Consider the following 18,747-nt stretch of genomic DNA (forward strand, 5'->3'; position numbering starts at 1 on the left):
CTGTATCTTCTTGAAGTAGGGTAACATTTTCTGGATTCTGCAGCTATGAATTACAGGATATAAAATTTATCGGGCAGCTCTCAGAACCAGGACAGGCTCAGAGGGGTTCGAGGACAATATTTTAAAATATTAACTGAAATCTCCTTCACAATTTTTTATATTGTCCTTTTCCCATTAGGAAATTTTTTTTTCTTTTTTTGAGATAGGGTCTCCCTACATTGCCTAGGCTGGAGTGCAGTGGCTATTCACAGGTGCGATCATAGCACAGTACAGTCTTGAACTCCTAGGCTCAAGCAATCCTCCTGCCTAAGCCTCCTGAGTAGCTGAGACTCCAGGCATGGGCCATCATATCTGGTTTGATATCTAGAAATGTATCAATACATTTGCAGTAGTCTAAAAAAGCAAACTCATCAATTTACTGAAAACTGAACAGATATATAGTAAAGAATATATACTTGAGAAAAGTAAACAAAGCTCCAAATAGTAATCCTTTTAAAAAGTTTAAGGTGGCTGGGCATGGTGGCTCACGCCTGTAATGCTACCACTTTGGGAGGCTGAGGCAGGTGGATCACTTGACATCAGGAGTTCAAGACCAGCCTGGCCGACATGGTGAAATCCCATCTCTAAGAGAAGCACAAGCCTCTGTCTTCTTGAAGTAGGGTAACAAATACAAAAATTAGCTGGGGATGGTGGAAGATGCCTGTAATCCCAGCTACTCGGGAGGCTAAGGCAGGAGAATCGCTTGAACCTGGGAGGCAGAGGTTGCAGTGAGCCAAGATCGTGCCACTGCACTCCAGCCTGGGCAACAGTGTGAGACTCTATCACAAAAAAAAAAAAAAAAAAATTAAGGTGTTATTATCTCTGTTGAATTCTTATTTTTATATTATAGCAGTAGCCCAGGAAAAGAAGTTTGAGATTTCTTTCTCTTACTTAGACACCTTCTTAGCCTGATGCCAGAAGTCTACAGCAGATTTCAGAGGTGATGCAGAAATTTTAGAATTTCCCTTCCCTTCCCTTCCCTTCCCTTCCCTTCCCTTCCCTTCCCTTCCCTTCCCTTCCCTTTCCTTCCCTTCCCTTTTCCCTTCCCTTCCCTCCCCTCCCCTCCCCTCCTCTCCCCTCCCCTCCCTTTCCTTCCCTTCCCTTCTTTTCTTTTATTTATTTTCTTTTCTTTTATTTATTCTTTTCTTTTCTTCTCTTTCTCTTTCTTTTATAGGGTCTCAGTTTGTCACCCAGGCTGGAGTGCAGTTGTGTGATCATGATTCACTGCAGCCTCAACCTTCTGGGCTTGAGTGGTCCTCCTGCCTCAGCCTCCTGAGTAGCTGGGACCACAGCATGTACCACCATGTCCTGCTAATTTTTAAATTTTTTAGAGACAGGGTTTTGCTATGTTGTTCAGGCTGGTCTCAAGCTCCCGGACTCAAGCAGTCCTCCTGCCTCAGCCTCCCAAAGTGCTGGAATTACAGGCAGGAGTCACTGCGCCCAGCCGATGCATTTCTTTAAGATAGGGAACATGACAATGTTACCTCCATTGTCCTTGAGGCCACTTACCTTTGTCCTCCCTGCCATATGTCCTGCTGCCAATTCCCCCCAACATTTGGCATACAATAGGAGGCTTCCAGCTCTATGCCAAGAGAGGAGGTACATGCAAGAGGTAAGAGCAGGAAGGGAAATAGCAAAATGATCAGTATTTCAGATGATATAATCATTTCTATTAAAAATTCAATAAAATTGGCTGGGTGGGGTGGCTCACACCTGTAATCCCAGCACTTTGGGAGGCCGAGGCAGGCAGATCACCTGAGGTCAGGAGTTTCAGACCAGCATGGCCAACATGGTGAAACCCCATCTCTACTAAAAATTAGCTGGGCATAGTGGCATGCGCCTGTATCTCTCACTATTTGCAACAGTAATAGTAATAGTGGGCTACTTCACTGAGCACAGCCAGAGCTGGGAGCTGGATGGTATGGAGGTCTCTCTAATTGAGGAGATGGAATTGAAAGTTCAGAGAAACCAAGGCAGGCAGAGTTTATAAGGCAGAGAACTGGAGAGGAGACAGCTGCACAAGTCAAGGCCTCCAGAGAGCTGCAGAGGGTGCCCCTAAGCTGCCCAGGGCTTACAGGGGAGACAAGCACCTAAGGCCAGGGAAAGAACTACCTGAAAGAAGCAGGCACAAGAATCCAAGCTCCCAAAGGGCTGGGAGTAGTTGATATTTTCAAAAGCTGGTGAGAAAAAATCATCCCAGAAAGGAATTGCCTCAGGAATAGAGAAAAACTAGCCTAGGACATCGAAGGTGACTCAGGTCCTATCTGGTAAATCTCCAAAGGATCAAACTGTTCCCAAGTAACTCAGCAGTGTCCTAGAACAGAGCTCAAGAATTTTTTAAAAATATAAGAATTTGGAAACTCAGTCTGAAAAAAAAAAAAAAGAATTAATACAGCAAACTTCTCTAGATCCAGGTAGATCATCTACTCCCCAGGTAGATATTCAATAAAGATTTACTGCTTGGCTCTTTGAAAGAAAGTGGCAGCAGGGCCTGGTGGCTCACACCTGTAATCCCAGCACTTTGGGAGGCTGAGGTGGGTGAATCACAAGGTCAGGAGTTCGAGACCAGCCTGGCCAATCTGGTAAAACCCCGTCTCTACTAAAAATACAAAAATTAGCTGGGCGTGGTGGCGGGCACCTGTAGTCCCAGCTACTCTGGAGGCTGAGGTAGGAGAATCACTTGAACCCGGGAGGCGGAGGTTGCAGTGAGCCAAGATTGCGCCACTGCACTCCAGCTTGGGTAACAGAGTGAAACTTTGTCTCAAAAAAAAAAAAAGTTAGTGAACTTAAAGACACATCAATAGAAACTTTAAAATGAAACAAAGAGAAAAAGCCTTTAAAAAAATGAACATAACATCACTAAGTGAAACAACTTTGCATACCTAATATACATGAAGCTGGAGTACTGGAAGAAGAGGGGAAAGAGAAGGGACATTTCTTTTTAAGAAATAATGGTGGGCTGGCATGGTAGCTCATGCCTGTGATCCCAGTACTTTGAGAGGCTAAGGCGGGTGGATCACTTGAGCCCAGGAGTTTTGAGGCCAGCCTGGGTAACATGACAAAACCCTGCTTCTACAAAAAATACAAAAAAATTAGCCAAGAGTGGTGACGCATGCCTGTAGTTCCAGCTACTTGGGAGGCTAAGGTGGAAGGATTGCTTGAGCCTGTAGTCAGAGGTTACAGTGAGCTGAGATCTCACCACTGCACTCCAGCCTAGGCTACAGAGTGAGACTCTATCTTAAAAGAAAGAAAGAAAGAAAAGGAATAATTGTCAAAAATTTTCTGAATTTGATGAAAGCTATAAACCCACAGATCCAAGAAGTTCCGTGAACCCCAAGCAAAAGATAGAAACAAAAAACCTACATTAAGTCACAAGTATAATAAAAATACATAAAACTAGTGTTAAAGAGAAAATCTAAACAGCTGTAACAGATACTTGATATAATTTGTCCAGAGGGATAAAAATAAGAATGACAGCTCACTTCTTGCCAAAATTTTGTTATATGAGATGAATTGTGCTTAGCTGTGTTTTGTGTTTTTGTGTTTTGGTTTTTGGTGTTTTTTGAGGCAGAGTCTCACTTTGTTGCCCAGGCTGGAATGCAGTGGCATAATCTCGGCTCACTGCAACCTCTGCCTCCTGGGTTCAAGCGATTCTCCTGCCTCAGCCTCCTGAGAAGCTGGAATTACAGGCACGTGCCACCATGCCCATCTAATTTTTGTATTTTTAGTAGAGACGAGGTTTCACCATGTTGGTCAGGCTGGTCTTGAAGTCCCGACCTCAGGTGATCCGCCCACCTCGGCCTCCCAAAGTGCTGGGATTACAGGCATGAGCCACTGCGCCTGGCCTACTGTGTTTTGTGTTTAACTGAGTTTTCCATTCCTAAGAGCAGAAGACATCCTTCCTGATGGAATAGTGCTTTGTATATATCTGGTAAATTATGCAGAATACACATTTATTTTACCGTCTTAGTTTTTACTGCAGAGGAGGAAAATAATGATACATTTTCTGTTACTCATTTAGTAGAAATTTCCTACTTAAAGAAATAATACGCCAGACGCGGTGGCTCACGCCTGTAATCCCAGCACTTTGGGAGGCCAAGGCAGGCAGATCATGAGGTCAGGAGATCGAGACCATACTGGCTAACACGGTGAAACCCCGTCTCTACTAAAAATACAAAAAATTAGCCAGGCGTGGTGGCGGGCGCCTGTAGTCCCAGCTACTCGGGAGACTGAGGCAGGAGAATGGTGTGAACCCGGGAGGCGGAGCTTGCAGAGAGCTGAGATGGCGCCACTGCACTCCAGCCTGGGTGATAAGGCAAGACTCCGTCTCAAAAAAAAAAAAAAAAAAAGAAATAATAAATTAAGAACATGATCCTTTTTAAAAATTATTTCTTGAGATGGAGTCTCACTTTGTCACCCAGGCTGGAGTGCAGTGGGCCTATCTTGGCTCACTGCAACCTCCACCTCCCAGGTTCAAGCGATTCTCCTACCTCAGCCTTCTAAGTAACTGGGATTACAGGCACCCACCACCACGCCTGGCTTATTGTAGACAATGATCCATTTACGGGCAACACAAATATATGATAGTGGTGACAGTCATAATTAGTGTTTTGTGACTGCCTTTGTATAGAACTTTAGTAGGGATTTCATAGATATAATCTAAATGACATATCCTCAATATCTGTGCTCCTTTTCTTTTTTGAGATAAAGTTTCACCCCGTTACCCAGGCTGGAGTGCAGTGGCTCAATCATAGCTCAAGCAGTCCTCCTGTATAGTTGGGACTGTGCGCACATGCCACTGCACCCTGATTTTATATATATATGTTTTGTTTTGTTTTGTTTTGTTTTTAAGAAGGAGTTTCACTCTTGTTGCCCAGGCTGGAGTGCAATGGCATGATCTTGGCTCACTGCAACCTCTGCCTCCCGGGCTCAAGTGATTCTCCTGCCTCAGCCTCCTGAGTAACTCGGGTTACTGGCGCCCCCCACCACACCCGGCTAATTTTTGTATTTTTGTTAGAGATGGGTTTTCACCATGTTGGCCAGGCTGGTCTTGAGCTCCTGACCTCAGGTGATCCACCTGCCTCAGCCTCCCAAACTGCTGGGATTACAGTTGTGAGCCATCGTGCCCGGCTTTTTTATTTTATTTTATTTTTAGTAGAGATGAAGTCTTGTTATGTTGCCCAGGTTGGTCTTGAACTCCTGGGCTCAAGCAATCCTCTTGCCTTGGCCTCCCAAAATGTCAGGATTATAGGTGTCAACCACTGTGCCCAGGCATTTTTCCTTTTCTAGTAACAAGAATCCTGATTTTTTTGCTGGGCACCTGGCTGTGAACACTACAATGCTCAGCCCCTCTTACAGCTGGAGTGGGCACCTTCTGGAAATCATCCTTCCCTTTCTCCTCTTTCTCCTGGCCAGCACGCAGAGGAGCAGGCCAGGGCTGAGACAGCTGGCATGGACCACCTGAGGCCATGGAGTGACGTGCAGCCAAGAGCCTGACAGAGGAGTCAGGGTCCCTCACCCAGGGATGGCAGAACCAGCCTTGATTTTATCTAAGGGAGAGATGGACTTCTATCTGCTCAAGCCACTGATTGTTGGCATTTTCATTACTTGCTGCTGAACCTTATCTTCATTAATACAAATAGGTTGTCATTATATATTTTCTTTTTTCTTTTTTTCTTTTTTTTTTTTTTTTGTTTCAGAGTCTCGTTCTGTTGCCAGGCTGGAGTGCGGTGGCGCAATCTCGCCTCACTGCAACCTCTGCCTCCCGGGTTCAAGCAATTCTCCTACCTCAGCCTCCCAAGTAGCTTGGATTACAGGCACCCACCACTACGCCCGGCTAACTTTTGTATCTTTTTGTAGTAGAGATAGGGTTTCACCATGTTGGCCAGGCTGGTCTCGAACTCCTGACCTTGTGATCTGCCCACCTCGGCCTCCCGAAGTGCTGGGATTACAGGTGTGAGCCACTGTGCCAGGCTGTCATTATTTATTTCCTAAAGGCATTAGACAAGTTCCTAAGACATGGCAAAATTTGAATATGAACCAGGTCTGTTTTCTGTAAAACTTTGTTATTTTCAGTAAATTATTCTTCTTACCACTAATGTTTACAAAAATGGCAGCTGTATACTATTAAAGATTTGCAGAGAATACAAAGTCAAAATATCAGTAGCCACTGAGAGCTTTAACTGAAGCTCTCAGATAAATATTTAAAGACCTAGGACTTTTAAAGGGACTATTTACAGTGGAATAGTGTCATAAACTGAATTTTGAAAAAACAAACAGAAAGTGTAAAAGAAAGCTCTCCAAGGGACCAATACTTTAATTTCAGGAGTGTTCTCATCCTTTGTAACATGGTATTTTCTATATAGTGTGAAAGGAAAATAAATCTTGGGACCCCAAAATTACTAAGCCAAGGAAAAAGTCAGGCTGGGAAGTGTCAGGCAAACCTGCTTCCCATTTTATTCCTAAATAAGATAGTTACAAAGATAAAAAAGCTATATACCTCATGTAATCATGATTGTGGTATTTTTATTTCTTATTTATTTATTTATCTTTTTGAGATGGAGTCTTGCTGTGTCGCCCAGGCTGGAGTGCAGCGGCGCAATCTCGGCTCACTGCAAGTTCCGCCTCCCGGGTTCACGCCATTCTCCTGCCTCAGCCTCCCGAGTAGCTGGGACTATAGGCGCCCGCCACCACGCCTGGCTCTTTTTTTTGTATTTTTAGTAGAGACGGGGTTTCACCGTGTTAGCCAGGATGGTCTCGATCTCCTGACCTCGTGATTCACCTGCCTTGGCCTCCCAAAGTGCTGGGATTACAGGCATGAGCCACCACACCTGGCCTGATTGTGGTATTTTAAAAAAAAAAGAAAAAAGAAAAAAAGTAAATTAGAAAAAAGCTACATGGCTGGGTGTGGTGGCTCACGCCTGTAATCCCAGCACTTTGGGAGGCCGAGGCAGGCAGATCACAAGGTCAGGAATTTGAGACCAGCCTGACCAACATGGTGGAACCCTGTCTCTACTAAAAAAATACAAAAATTAGCTAAGCGTGGTGGCGCACACCTGTAATCCCAGCTACTTAGGAGGCTTGAACTCGGGAGGCGGAGATTGCAGTGAGCCAAGATTGCACCACGGCACTCCAGCCTGGGCAACAGAGCAGACTCTGTCTTAAAAATAAATAAATAAAAATAAATAAATAAAAGCTACATACCTTCCTCACAATTTGCCCCCAGAGAAATTCCTTGTGGGCCTCAAGATCTTTACCCTAAAACAGTTCTGTTGAATTTCACCCTGGCAATGTAAATTGATAGCTTATCTTTACAGATGAGGGACCGTCCCTCTGCTCACCTGAGACAAAGGCATATCTGATTGCTTCCTCTACTGGTTATGTAAAAATGCAGATTCACTGAGTCATGCTCAGTTATGTATTCAGTGAAAGGCTGATCAAGGACTCCAAAGAATGCAACCTTTTTTTTTTTTTTTTTTTGAGACAGAGTCTGGCTCAGTTGCCCAGGCTGGAGTGCAGTGAGGAGATCTCGGCTCACTGCAGCCTCTGCCTCCCAGGTTCAAGTAATTCTCCTGCCTCAGCCTCCTGAGAAGCTGGGACTAAAGGTGCACCACCATATCCAGCTAATTTTTGTATTTTTTTGGTAGAGAAGGGGTTTCCCTGTGTTAGCCAGGTTAGTCTTGATCTCCTGGTCTCAAGTGATTCCCCCTGCCTTGGCCTCCCAAAGTGCTGGGATTACAGGTGTGAGCCAATGTGCCCGGACTAGAATGCAGTCTTTTGTCTCTTATCTACCTGGACCTGGAAGCCCCAATTTTGAGTTGTCCTGCCTTTTGGGACCAAACCAATGTACATCTTTTTTTCATTTTTTATTTTTTTGAGATGGAGTTTCGCTCTTGTTGCCCACGCTGGATTGCAATGGCACGATCTCAGCCAACTGCAACCTCCGCCTCCCGGGTTCAAGCGATTCTCCTGCCTCAGCCTCCTGAGTAGCTGGGACTACAGGCGCCCGCCACCATGCCTGTTTAATTTTGTATTTTTAGTATACACGGGGTTTCTCCACGTTGGTCAGGCTCAAACTCCCGACCTCAGGTGATCCACCTGCCTCGGCCTCCCGACCTCAGGTGATCCACCCACCTCGGCCTCCCAAAGTGCTGAGATTACAGGCATGAGCCACCGGGCCCGGCCAAACCAATATACATCTTACACATATTGATTGATGTCTCATGTCACTCTAAAATGTATAAAAGCAAGCTGTATCCTGACCATTCTGGCATATGTCCGCAGGACCTCCTGAGGCTGTCTCACGAGTGGTCATTAGCCTTGGCAAAATCAACTTTCTGAAATGACTGAGACCTGTCTCAGATATTTTGGGTTGACAATACACACACACACACACACACACACACACACACACACACAGAGTTTTGGTGACAGGGTTAGAGAAAAATAATATCTACTTTCATGGCTTACAACTCTGGTTTTACAACAGAAGTAAAAAAAATTTTATTCTAATAGCATGATTTATCTTTGCCAATTTTTGAAAATTTTTATTTTATTTTATTTTATTTTTTGGAGAGAAGTGCACAGTCATAGCTCATCAGAACAGAATATCTTACCAGGAGGCATGTCACCCTTGTCTCCTTAAAACCTTTCCCCGCACACACACAAAACACTCTCATTTTGGATTTTGTGCCTATGTTCATGTCATTCCCTCTGTTTGCAATTGCTTTCTTTCCCACCAATCAACTAACTGCGCTAATTACTAAGTCTTGATCTTCTCCTCCATGAAGGCTTCCTGGATTGGTCTAGTCTACAACAGTAGTTCTCAAAGCACAGTACGGCAGCAGCAGTGTCACCTGGGACTGGAAATTCACTCCTGCAACCCCAGACCTACTGAGCTGGCAACCCTGGGGGGCCCAGCACTCTGTGTCATTGAGTCTAAGATGCTTTTGATGTGACTCAGATTAGCTTGTCACTGCTCTAAGGCCATATTGATCCCTCCCTTCTCTGGGTCCCCATGCCACGTACAGTTCACAGTACATCACTTGGAGCTGAATCCCCTTTTAAAGAATTGTTATAGTAGGCTTCCCTAGATTCAGGTAGATTGTCTACTCCCCAGGTAGATATTCAATAAAGATTTAGTGCTTGGCTCTTTGAAAGAAGGTGGTGGCTCATGCCTGTAATCCCAGCACTTTGGGAGGCCAAGGTGGGCGGATCACAAGGTCAGGAGTTCAAACCCGCCTGCCCAATCTGGTGAAACCCCATCTCTAAAAAAAATACAAAAATTAGCTGGGTGTGGCAGCGCATAACTGTAATCCCAGCTACTTGGGAGGCTGAGGCAGGAGAATCGCTTGAACCTGGGAGGCGGAGGTTGCAATGAGCTCAGATTGTGCCATAGCACTCCAGGCTGGGCAACAAGAGTGAAACTTTGTCTCAAAAAAAAAAAAAAAAAATTGAATGCTAAAGGTCACCGCAGCAATCAATGTCATCTTCTGTTGCTGTGGATGTTTATGTTATTATTATTATTATTATTGAGACAAAGTCTCGCTCTGTGGCCCAGGTTGGAGTGCAGTGGTGTGATCTTGGCTCCCTGCAACCTCCACCTCCCGGGTTCAAGCAATTCTCGAGCCTCAGCCTCGCAAATAGCTGGGACTACAGGCCCGACTGATTTTTGTATTTTAGTAGAGACGGGGTTTCACTATGCTGCCCAGGCTGGTCTGTAACTCCTGGCCTCAAGGGATCTGCCCACCTCGGCCTCCCAAAGTGCTGGCATTACAGGCATGAGCCACCACGCTCGGCTGGATGTTCATATTAACACAAGATGCTGTATCAAGACCCACGCGATACTGAACAGACATGACCCTTATCCTTACATGTGAAGATGTGGAATGGTCCTCTCAGGTACATGACTCCACAGGGAATGTATATATTGTCATAATAATTCTACTTACTAACTTTGATTGAGCACCTATTGTGTGCCAGGTAATGTTCTCAGCAGGACTAGCTGCATAATTTGCAGGGCTCAGGGCAAAATGAAAACACAGGGCTCCTTGTTCGAACAGCAGAGAAAAGTGCTGTTAAAGGTACCAAGTACAGGCCGGGCACAGTGGCTTGCGCCCATAATCTCAGCACTCTGGGAGGCTGAGCTGGGAGGATCGTGTGAGCTCAGGAATTTGAGACCAGCCTGGGCAACGTAGTGAGACCTCATCTCTACTTCAGAAAAAAAAAAAATCAGCTAGGCGTGGTGTTGTGCACCTAGTCCCAGCTACTCAGGAGGCCAAGGTGGGAGGCCTGAGCCCGGGAGTTCAAGGCTGCAGTGAGCTATTACTGCACCACAGCATGCCAGCCTGGGCAACTGAGCAAGACCCTGTCTTAAAAAAAAAAAAGGGTACCAAATACAAAGTATTCTTTTTTTCATGATCTATCTGTGTAACTGTCCTGTTTGTAAATCTTCTGTTGAATATTATACTCCCTGCAGCATCAAGGATGCTCCTGGAGGAGTGGGGACGCTCCCAAGGGCTGGGGTCCCTGCCCTACCATTCTGTGTTCACAGGCGCATCCATCTGCCACTGAGCCCCACTCTGACTAGCCACTAGACCAATGCACCATGCCCTGGCTAGGGGCCAGGAGCCTACCACCCAATCTGTGGCAGAGAGGTCACCCTCCAAGGCATTGCAAAGTTTGCACCAGCACACACTAGGTACCTGGGTAGGCAGCAGGCAAGAGGCTTGCCCCCACCGGGGGTGCTCGGGAGCATGCTGTGTGCTCAAGACACCAGGGAACACGTGCCTTACCCTGATCCTCCTGCACCCACACTCAGGCCCTGCCCAGAGTGAAGGGTGGCCAGGTGGCCAGGTGGGAGTGGGGAGGGGGCCATGGAACCCAGGGTGCAGGGGACAGGGGAATGGGCAGTCAGGAACCTGCCAGGGGGAGGCAGGGAGGTGGGACCACACACTGCACTACAAGTCCATGATGCATGCGCACTCCATTGCCCTGTGGGAACAGAAATTCAAAGACAAAATCATTAAGAATTTCAGGCTGGGTGCAGTGGCTCATGCTTGTAATCCCAGCACTTCGGGAGGCTGAGGCAGATCTCATGAGGTCAAGAGTTCGAGACCAGCCTGGCCAACATGGTGAAACCACATCTCTACTAAAAATACAAAACTTAGCTGGGTGTGGTGGCACGCACCTGTAATCCCAGCTACTCAGGAGGCTGAGGCAGGAGAATCACTTGAACCTGGGAGGCGGAGGTTACAGTGAGCCGAGATCGTGCCATTGCACTCCAGTCTGGGTGACAAGAACAAAACTCCATATCAAAAAAATAAAAAATAAAGAATTTCAAGATGATGACTGCAGAACATTCAGTCCCAAGTGTGGGACCCTTTTGAGCATGGGGACGCTGTGTCACGGCACTAACAGCATACCCCTGAAGCCAGCCTCGTTCTGAGACTTTTGTGAGACTTATTAAATCTCCACGCAAGCCTATAAGGGTATTGTCCCCAATTAGCAGACAAGGAAGTTGAGGCATAGACAAGTGGCCTGCCCAAGATTGCTTAGCTGGGCGGATGGGTGGGGTGATACCAGCCCAGTCTCACCCACATCTGCCTGCTTCACCTTGCTCATTGCTGCTCTTCAGAGAATATTTGCAGAGCAATAGAAATTCAGAAGGACAGCCAAATAGTTACAGCTCATGCTCGTCCAGTTGGCATTAAAGCTCTGTCCTCACTGCAGTCCCCACCCCCCACCAATGGTTTGTTGATCCTCTCCCATAGCAGAAGCAGGAACACTGAAACCATGATAGGTATGAGCTCAGGAGACGTTCCCAGGAGATCTGCCTATGGCCTTGGGGAAAACTGGTAGAGCTGGTTGGAGCTGGCCCTCTCCCCAGCTGCCTTCCACAATTAGCTCAGGGGGCACACTTAGTCCCTCCTGGAGGTTTCACGACCTGGCACCAGATGCAGACCCTGGTCAGCTCTGTTAAGGAAGGACTCTGTGAGCAGGTGCTGGTGTCAGCCAGGACTTGGGGTAATCTTCTAGAACTTTACTGTAGTTTTTTCAGTGTCCACACTTCCTGGAATTCGTCTAGTTTATTTCACTGAAAGTGGGCAGGATCTTTGAAAAGACACTCTCAAAAGAATTGGATTCCCCTTATCTATTCAGCATTTCCTTTGTCACCAAAGTGATCAGTCAGAAGTAGTTAGAAAGTAGCCCCAACACGGCCGGGCACAGTGGCTCACGCCTGTAATCCCAGGACTTTGGGGGGCCGAGGCGGGTGGAGCACGAGGTCTGGAGTTCTTAGACCAGCCTGGCCAACATGATGAAACTCTGTCTCTCCTGACAATACAAAAATTAGCTGAGTGTGATGGCAGGCGCCTGTAATCCCACATACTCAGGAGGCTGAGGCAGGAGGATCGCTTGAACCCGGGAGGTGGAGATTGCAGTGAGCTGAGATTGCACCACTGCACTCCAGCCTGGGCGACAGAATGAGATTCTGTCTCAAAAAAAAAAAAAAAAAAAAAGTAGCCTCAAAAATTTAGACAAACTAGTGGTGTGCTGGTAATTGTTTTGTAAACAGCTCTCTGGAATACATTTTTTTTTTCTTTTTTTTTTTTGAAGCGGAGTCTCATTGTTGCCCAGACCTGAGTCCAGTGGCCTGATCTTGGCTCACTGCAACCTCTGCCTCCTGGGTTCAAGTGATTTTCCTGTCTCAGCCTCCTGAATAGCTGGGATTACAGGTGCCTGCCACCACACCTGGCTAGTTTTTGTATTTTTAGTAGAGATGGGGTTTCACCATGTTAGCCAGGCTGGTCTCGAACTCCTGACCTCAGGTGAGCTGTCCTGCTTGGCCCCCCAAAGTACTGGAATTACAGGTGCCACCGTGCCTGGCCTGGAATACATTTTTTTCAAAGGTGCTGTTTGTAGCTTTTAATGATTTCTATGGTGCTGATATTCCACTAAAACAAATTTCAGGCTACCAGGGTGATATCTCCCTGGTTGCAAAATCCCTGAAATTTTGCCAGTCTGCTCCTGCAGGCTGGTAAGACCCAATGTGTTTCCGTCCAGCACACCTCTTGACATGGACCTTCCATCAAGGACACCAAAGTGCTTTAGGTGAGTGTCCTAATTGTTCCAGTGATTTGGGGGCAAGCTGGAACAAGGAAAAAGAGCTATAATACAGTCATATCAATTTTACAGCTGAGCATACTGAGGTTCCAACACATAATATTTTGCCGCGGGTGCCCCAGCAAAGGCCCAAGCCTTAGATAAGGAGGCTGTTGAACAGCTTCCAGCTGAGACCATGTCACATGGCTGAGGTATGGAGATGGCTAAGGTGTGCCACCCTAGAGGCTATAGTCTTTAGGAAGGAAAGACCTTGAGAACAAGAGGAAGTAGTGACCAGATGCCTAAGTGGCGTGATTGATTGATTGATTGATTTTGAGATGGAGTTTCATTCACTCTTGTCGCCCAGGCTGGAGTGCAGTGGCATGATGTTGCTCGCTTTAACTTTGGCCTACCAGGCTCAAGCGATTCTCCTGCATCAGCCTCCCTAGTAGTTGGGATTACAGGCTCCCGCTACCGCGTCCAGCTAATTTTTTTGTATTTTTTGTAGAGACGGAGTTTCATCATGTTGGCCTGGCTGGTCTCGAACTCCTGAGCTCAGGTGATCCACCCGCCTCGGCCTCCCAAAGTGTGGGGATTATTATTATTATTACTGAGACGGAGTCTCGCTCTGTTGCCCAGGCTAGAGTGCAGTGGCACGATCTCAGCTCACTGCAACCTCCACCTCCCAGGTTCAAGCGATTCTCCTGTCTCAGCCTCCCGAGTAGCTGGGATTAGAGGCATACGCCATCACGTTTGGCTAATTTTTGTCTTTTTAGTAGAGATGGGCTTTCACCATGTTGGCCAGGCCGGTCTTGAACTCCTGACCTCAAGTGATCTGCCCCCCTCGGCCTCCCAAACTTCTGGGATTACAGGCGCGAGCCACTGCTCCCGGCCATTGTTTTTGAGACAAGATCTCTGTCATCCAGACTGGAGTGCAGTCGCATGATCATGGCTCACTGTAGCCTCAATCTCCTGGGCTCAAGCAATCCTCCCGTCTCAGCCTCCTGAGTAGCTGGGACCACAAGTGTGTACCACCACGACCGGCTAATTTTTTTGTTTTTTTATTTTTTAGTAGATATGAGGTCTGTCTATGTTGTGCAGGCTGGTCTCAAACTCCTGAGCTCAAGTATGCTCCTGCCTTGGCCTCCCAAAGTGCTGGAATTACAGGCATCAGCCACCGTACCTGGCCTACCCGGTGTGATTTGAAAGATGCTGCGAAATTCTCAGAGGAGGGATAGATGCTCTAGGCCTCTCCTCCATACTCAGGAGAGATAACATGGGGATGGTGGCAAAAAGAATCAAGTGACTTCAACAATTTCATTTAGTTGTAGAAAAAGCATTGACCCTGGCTGGGTGTGGTGGCTCACGCCTGTAATCCCAGCACTTTGGGAGGCCGAGGCAGGCGGATCATGAGGTCAGGAGATCGAGACCATCCTGGCTAACACAGTGAAACCCCTCTCTACTAAAAATACAAAAAATTAGCTGAGCGTGGTGGCATGTGCCTGTAGTTCCAGCTACTCGGGAGGCTGGGGCAGGAGAATTGCTTGAACCCGGGAGGCAGAGCTTGCAGTGAGCCAAGATTGCACCACTGCAGTCCAGCCTGGGTGACCGATCAAGACTTCGTCTCAAAAAAAAAAAAAAAAAAGAAAAAAAAGAAAAAAAAAAAGCAATGACCCATAAAGAAAGAGCCTGTTTGCTCCTATATATTTAAATCACATTTGGCCGGGTGCGGTGGCTCACACCTGTAATCCCAGCACTTTGGGAGGCTGAGGTGGGCAGATCACTTGAGTCCAGGAGTTCAAGACCAGCCTGGCCAACATGGTGAAACCCCATCTTTAATAAAAATACAAAAGTTAGCCGGGTGTGGTGGTGCGTGCCTGTTATCCCAGCTGCTTGGGAGGTTGAGGCATGAGAGTTGCTTGAACTTGGGAGGCGGAGGTTGCAAGATCATGCCATTGCACTCCAGCCTGGGCAACAGAGTGGGACTCTGTCTCAAAAAAATAAAAAATAAAAACAAATAAATAAATAACTCACATTTGACTGCCAGCTGGATTTCTCTTGAGTTTTTCTCCTATCACCCCTCCTCCAATATTCTTACTAGTATCACCATCGTTACCAGTATTCATCGTATATATTCTCAGAGTTTTCTTTAATCAAACTTGGCCTTGCTAGCTCTTAGAAAGAGTTTCCATTAGGGCAACATTACTATCAAATATCTTTTTTTTTTTTTTTTTTTTTTTTTTGAGACGGTCTCACTCTGTCACCCAGGCTGGAGTGCAGTGGTGCTATCTCAGCTCACTGCAACCTTGGCCTCCTGGGTTCAAGCGCTTCTCGTGCCTCAGCCTCCCGAGTAGCCGGGACTACAGGCATGCGCCACCAGATTCAGCTAATTTTTGTATTTTTTGGTAGAGACAAGGTTTCACCATGTTGGCCAGGCGGTTTCACCATGTTGGCCAGGCTGGTCTTGAACTCCTGACCTCAAGTGATCCGCCCACCTCGTCTTCCCAAAGTGCCAGGATTACGGTTGTGAGCCACCACGCCCAGCCCCAAATATCTCTTTATATAGCTATGGGTGGCTACGAGGGACACATTTGATGGAATGCGATCCGAGGCCTCTGGAGAGATTTTTCATGGGCATGTATCTGTTGGGAAGAACCTCAGGGTGGAGGCCATTCCTCTTTCTAAATTAGCTAGTGTAGAAGACAGGGCAAAGTTCTCATAAAATTTCTAACATCGACGAGAGTGTTGGCATTAGAAATGAGAAGACAGAAAAAGTATGAAAATGCAAAAATGGAAAATGTACATAAATACAAAATTTTATTAAATAGTATTCATTGATTTTAAATGTATACAACATGCTTGTTGGTATTTAAAAATAGAATGATGGAGGATGATTTGGTGGGAGTAATTGTTTGAAAAAAAAATCAATTTAACATCACTTTGCTTTCCACTTCTGCTGCCAAGAAATCTCAGGCAGTATCTTCTAATTCAAACATAAGTGTCTCCAGAAACCTTTGGATCACATATTACAAAGCCCCATCTGTTTTACCCTCTCAAAATTAGCATTTTAGCTTAATTCACTTATACATTTTCTGACATTAGCTTGATTCTTCTCTTCTTCCTTTTTGTCATCTTAAATCACACCTGGCATCTTTTAGATTTGGATTCAACTGAAAAAATAATTTTTAGCTATTTTAAGTCCTTTTTAGTAGTAAGCAGAGTGTAAATAAAATTTAAAGCATAATGATGCAAACATATATACAGCTAATGTTTCTTGCAGGATTGTTTACAATAGCAAAAACTGGAAACAAATGTCTATGGATTGAGAGGTGGTTAAAACAATAATTGCTAAATCATTAATAATTCTTAAAAGGAGTGAAATATATATGTGTGTGTATATATCTATATCCTGATATGTATGCAAGGCTGTATATGATCTATGTAAGTGGAAAAAAGCAAGTTGAAAAAACAGCAAACAGATAGTTTTATATGTTGAAAAAAATCAAGGCTGTTCAAAAAAGGTATCTTTGTGTAAGGGCATAGAAAGTAGCTTGCAAGGCACACACTAAGTGAGGAATGTGATTTGCTCTGGAGGGGAACAGGGTAAAGGCAAAGGTGGCAAGGGGACAGTCCCATTTTTCCCGTCGGCTTCTGGTATGCTTGAATTTTCTACAATATGAATGTGTGGGCCGGCGTGGTGGCTGATCACAAGGTCAAGAGTTTTAGATCAGACTGACCAACATGGTGAAACCCTGTCTCTACTAAAAATACAAAAATTATCCAGACATGGTGGCGTGTGCTTGCAGTCCCAGCGACTCGGGAGGCTGAGGCAGAAGGATCGCTTGAACCTGGGAGAGCGGTTGTAGTGAGCTGAGATCGTGCCACTGCACTCCAGCCTAGGCGACAGAGTGAGACTCCGTTTAAAAAAAAAAGTGTGCATGTATGTGTTATTTTGCAATTAGAAAGTCCAAACCAAGGCCAGGCATGGTGGCTCATGCCTGTAATCCCAGCATTTTGGGAGGCAGAGGCAAGAGGATCACTTGAGCCCAGGAGTTCAAGACCAGACTGGGCAACATGGCAAAACCCCATCTCTACAAAAAAAAAAAAAAATTAGCAGAGTTTGGTGGCTCATGCCTGTAGTCCCAGCTATGCGGGAGGCTGAGATGGGAGGATTACTTGAGCCCAGCAGGTAGGGGCTCCAGGGAACTGTGTTCACACCATTGCACTCCAGCCTGGGTGCCAGAGGGAGACCCTGTCTCAAAAAAAGAAAAAAAAAATCCAAAGCAAAAACTATTAAATGACCAAGCATATATAATAAAATAACACATGTCACAAGGGCCATCACAAATTTCTGAAGGTTTCCTTTCTACTCCTATTTTGAATCATTTCCTACTCAAGGCAAAATAAAAAGAATTTTTAAAAAAAATTTTAAAAATAGAGATGGGGCTGGGCGGGGTGGCTCACACCAGTAATCCTAGCATTTTGGGAGGCCGAGGTGGATGGATTGCCTGAACTCAGGAGTTTGAGATCAGCCTGGGCAACATGGCAAAACCCCATCTCTACTAAAAATACAAAAAAAATAGCTGGGCATTCTGGCGTGCACCTGTAATCCCAGATACTTGGGAGGATGAAGCAGGAGAATTGCTTGAGCCTGGGAGGTGGAGGTTGCAGTGAGCCGAGATCGTGCCACTGCACTCCAGCCTAGGCAACAGCACACACACAAAAATCATAATAAAATAAATAAACAGAAATAGAGATGGGGTTTCGTCATGTTGCCCAGGCTGGTCTTGAACTCCTGGGCTCAAGTGATCTGCCCACCTTGGCCTCCGAAAGTGCTGGGATTACAGGTGTGAGCCACCGAACCCAACCAAAAAGAAAAAACTTAAAACACATACAAGAGAGGAACTTTATTAGTATTGAAGATAACGAGTGTATAACTATCTATCTAGTAAGCATAAAGAGATGTTAATTTTCAGTAGAATACAAGATAGAGGTAATATATATTTGTGTGTGTACAATTTTGTTTTGTTTATGGGGAGGACATTTTCTTCACCATCATCATCATCATCATAGTCATTGATGTCATGTCAACTGCCATTACTGTATGGCAGGCAATGCCTTAAGTTTACTTTTATTAACTCACCTAATCTTAACTACAGCCCAATTAGGAAGGTTCTATGGTTATTCCCATTTTACAGGTGAGAAACTGAAGCAGAGAGAGGTTAAGGAACTCGGCCAGGGTTACACAGCTTGTAAGTGGGGGAGCTGGGATTCAAATCCAGGCAGGATGAATCCAGAGTCCATGCTCCTAACCTCAACTCTACACGCGAGAAGCCAAATGAACACATTCATTCGTATGCAGGTATCTCTCTGGGGTGGAGAGTCCTGTGTTCCTGCAGAGGCTCGTCCAGCACCATCTCCTCTGCATGCCAAGTCTTCCCTCAGCAATTTCTCAACACACCCTCACCTTTTTTAGAGACAGAGTCTCACTCTCTTGCCGAGGCTGGAGTGCAGCGGCACCATCATAGCTTACTGCAGCCTTGAACTCCTAGGTTCAAGCAATCCCCCTGCCTCAGCCTGGCATTACAGGCACGTGCCACCACGCCT

General features: G+C 45.8%; 1 annotated feature.

The window, feature by feature from the left end:
• Positions 7,164-7,664: an enhancer, noted in NCBI's record as "H3K27ac hESC enhancer chr7:152196994-152197494 (GRCh37/hg19 assembly coordinates)". NCBI's record gives its function as "activates a minimal SCP1, AML or CMV promoter by ChIP-STARR-seq in primed H9 embryonic stem cells {active_cell/tissue: H9 hESC(primed)}" and the evidence as "EXISTENCE:reporter gene assay evidence [ECO:0000049][PMID:30033119]".

The sequence above is a fragment of the Homo sapiens genome, chromosome 7, assembly GCF_000001405.40.
Source record: "Homo sapiens chromosome 7, GRCh38.p14 Primary Assembly".
Classification (NCBI taxonomy): domain Eukaryota; kingdom Metazoa; phylum Chordata; class Mammalia; order Primates; family Hominidae; genus Homo; species Homo sapiens.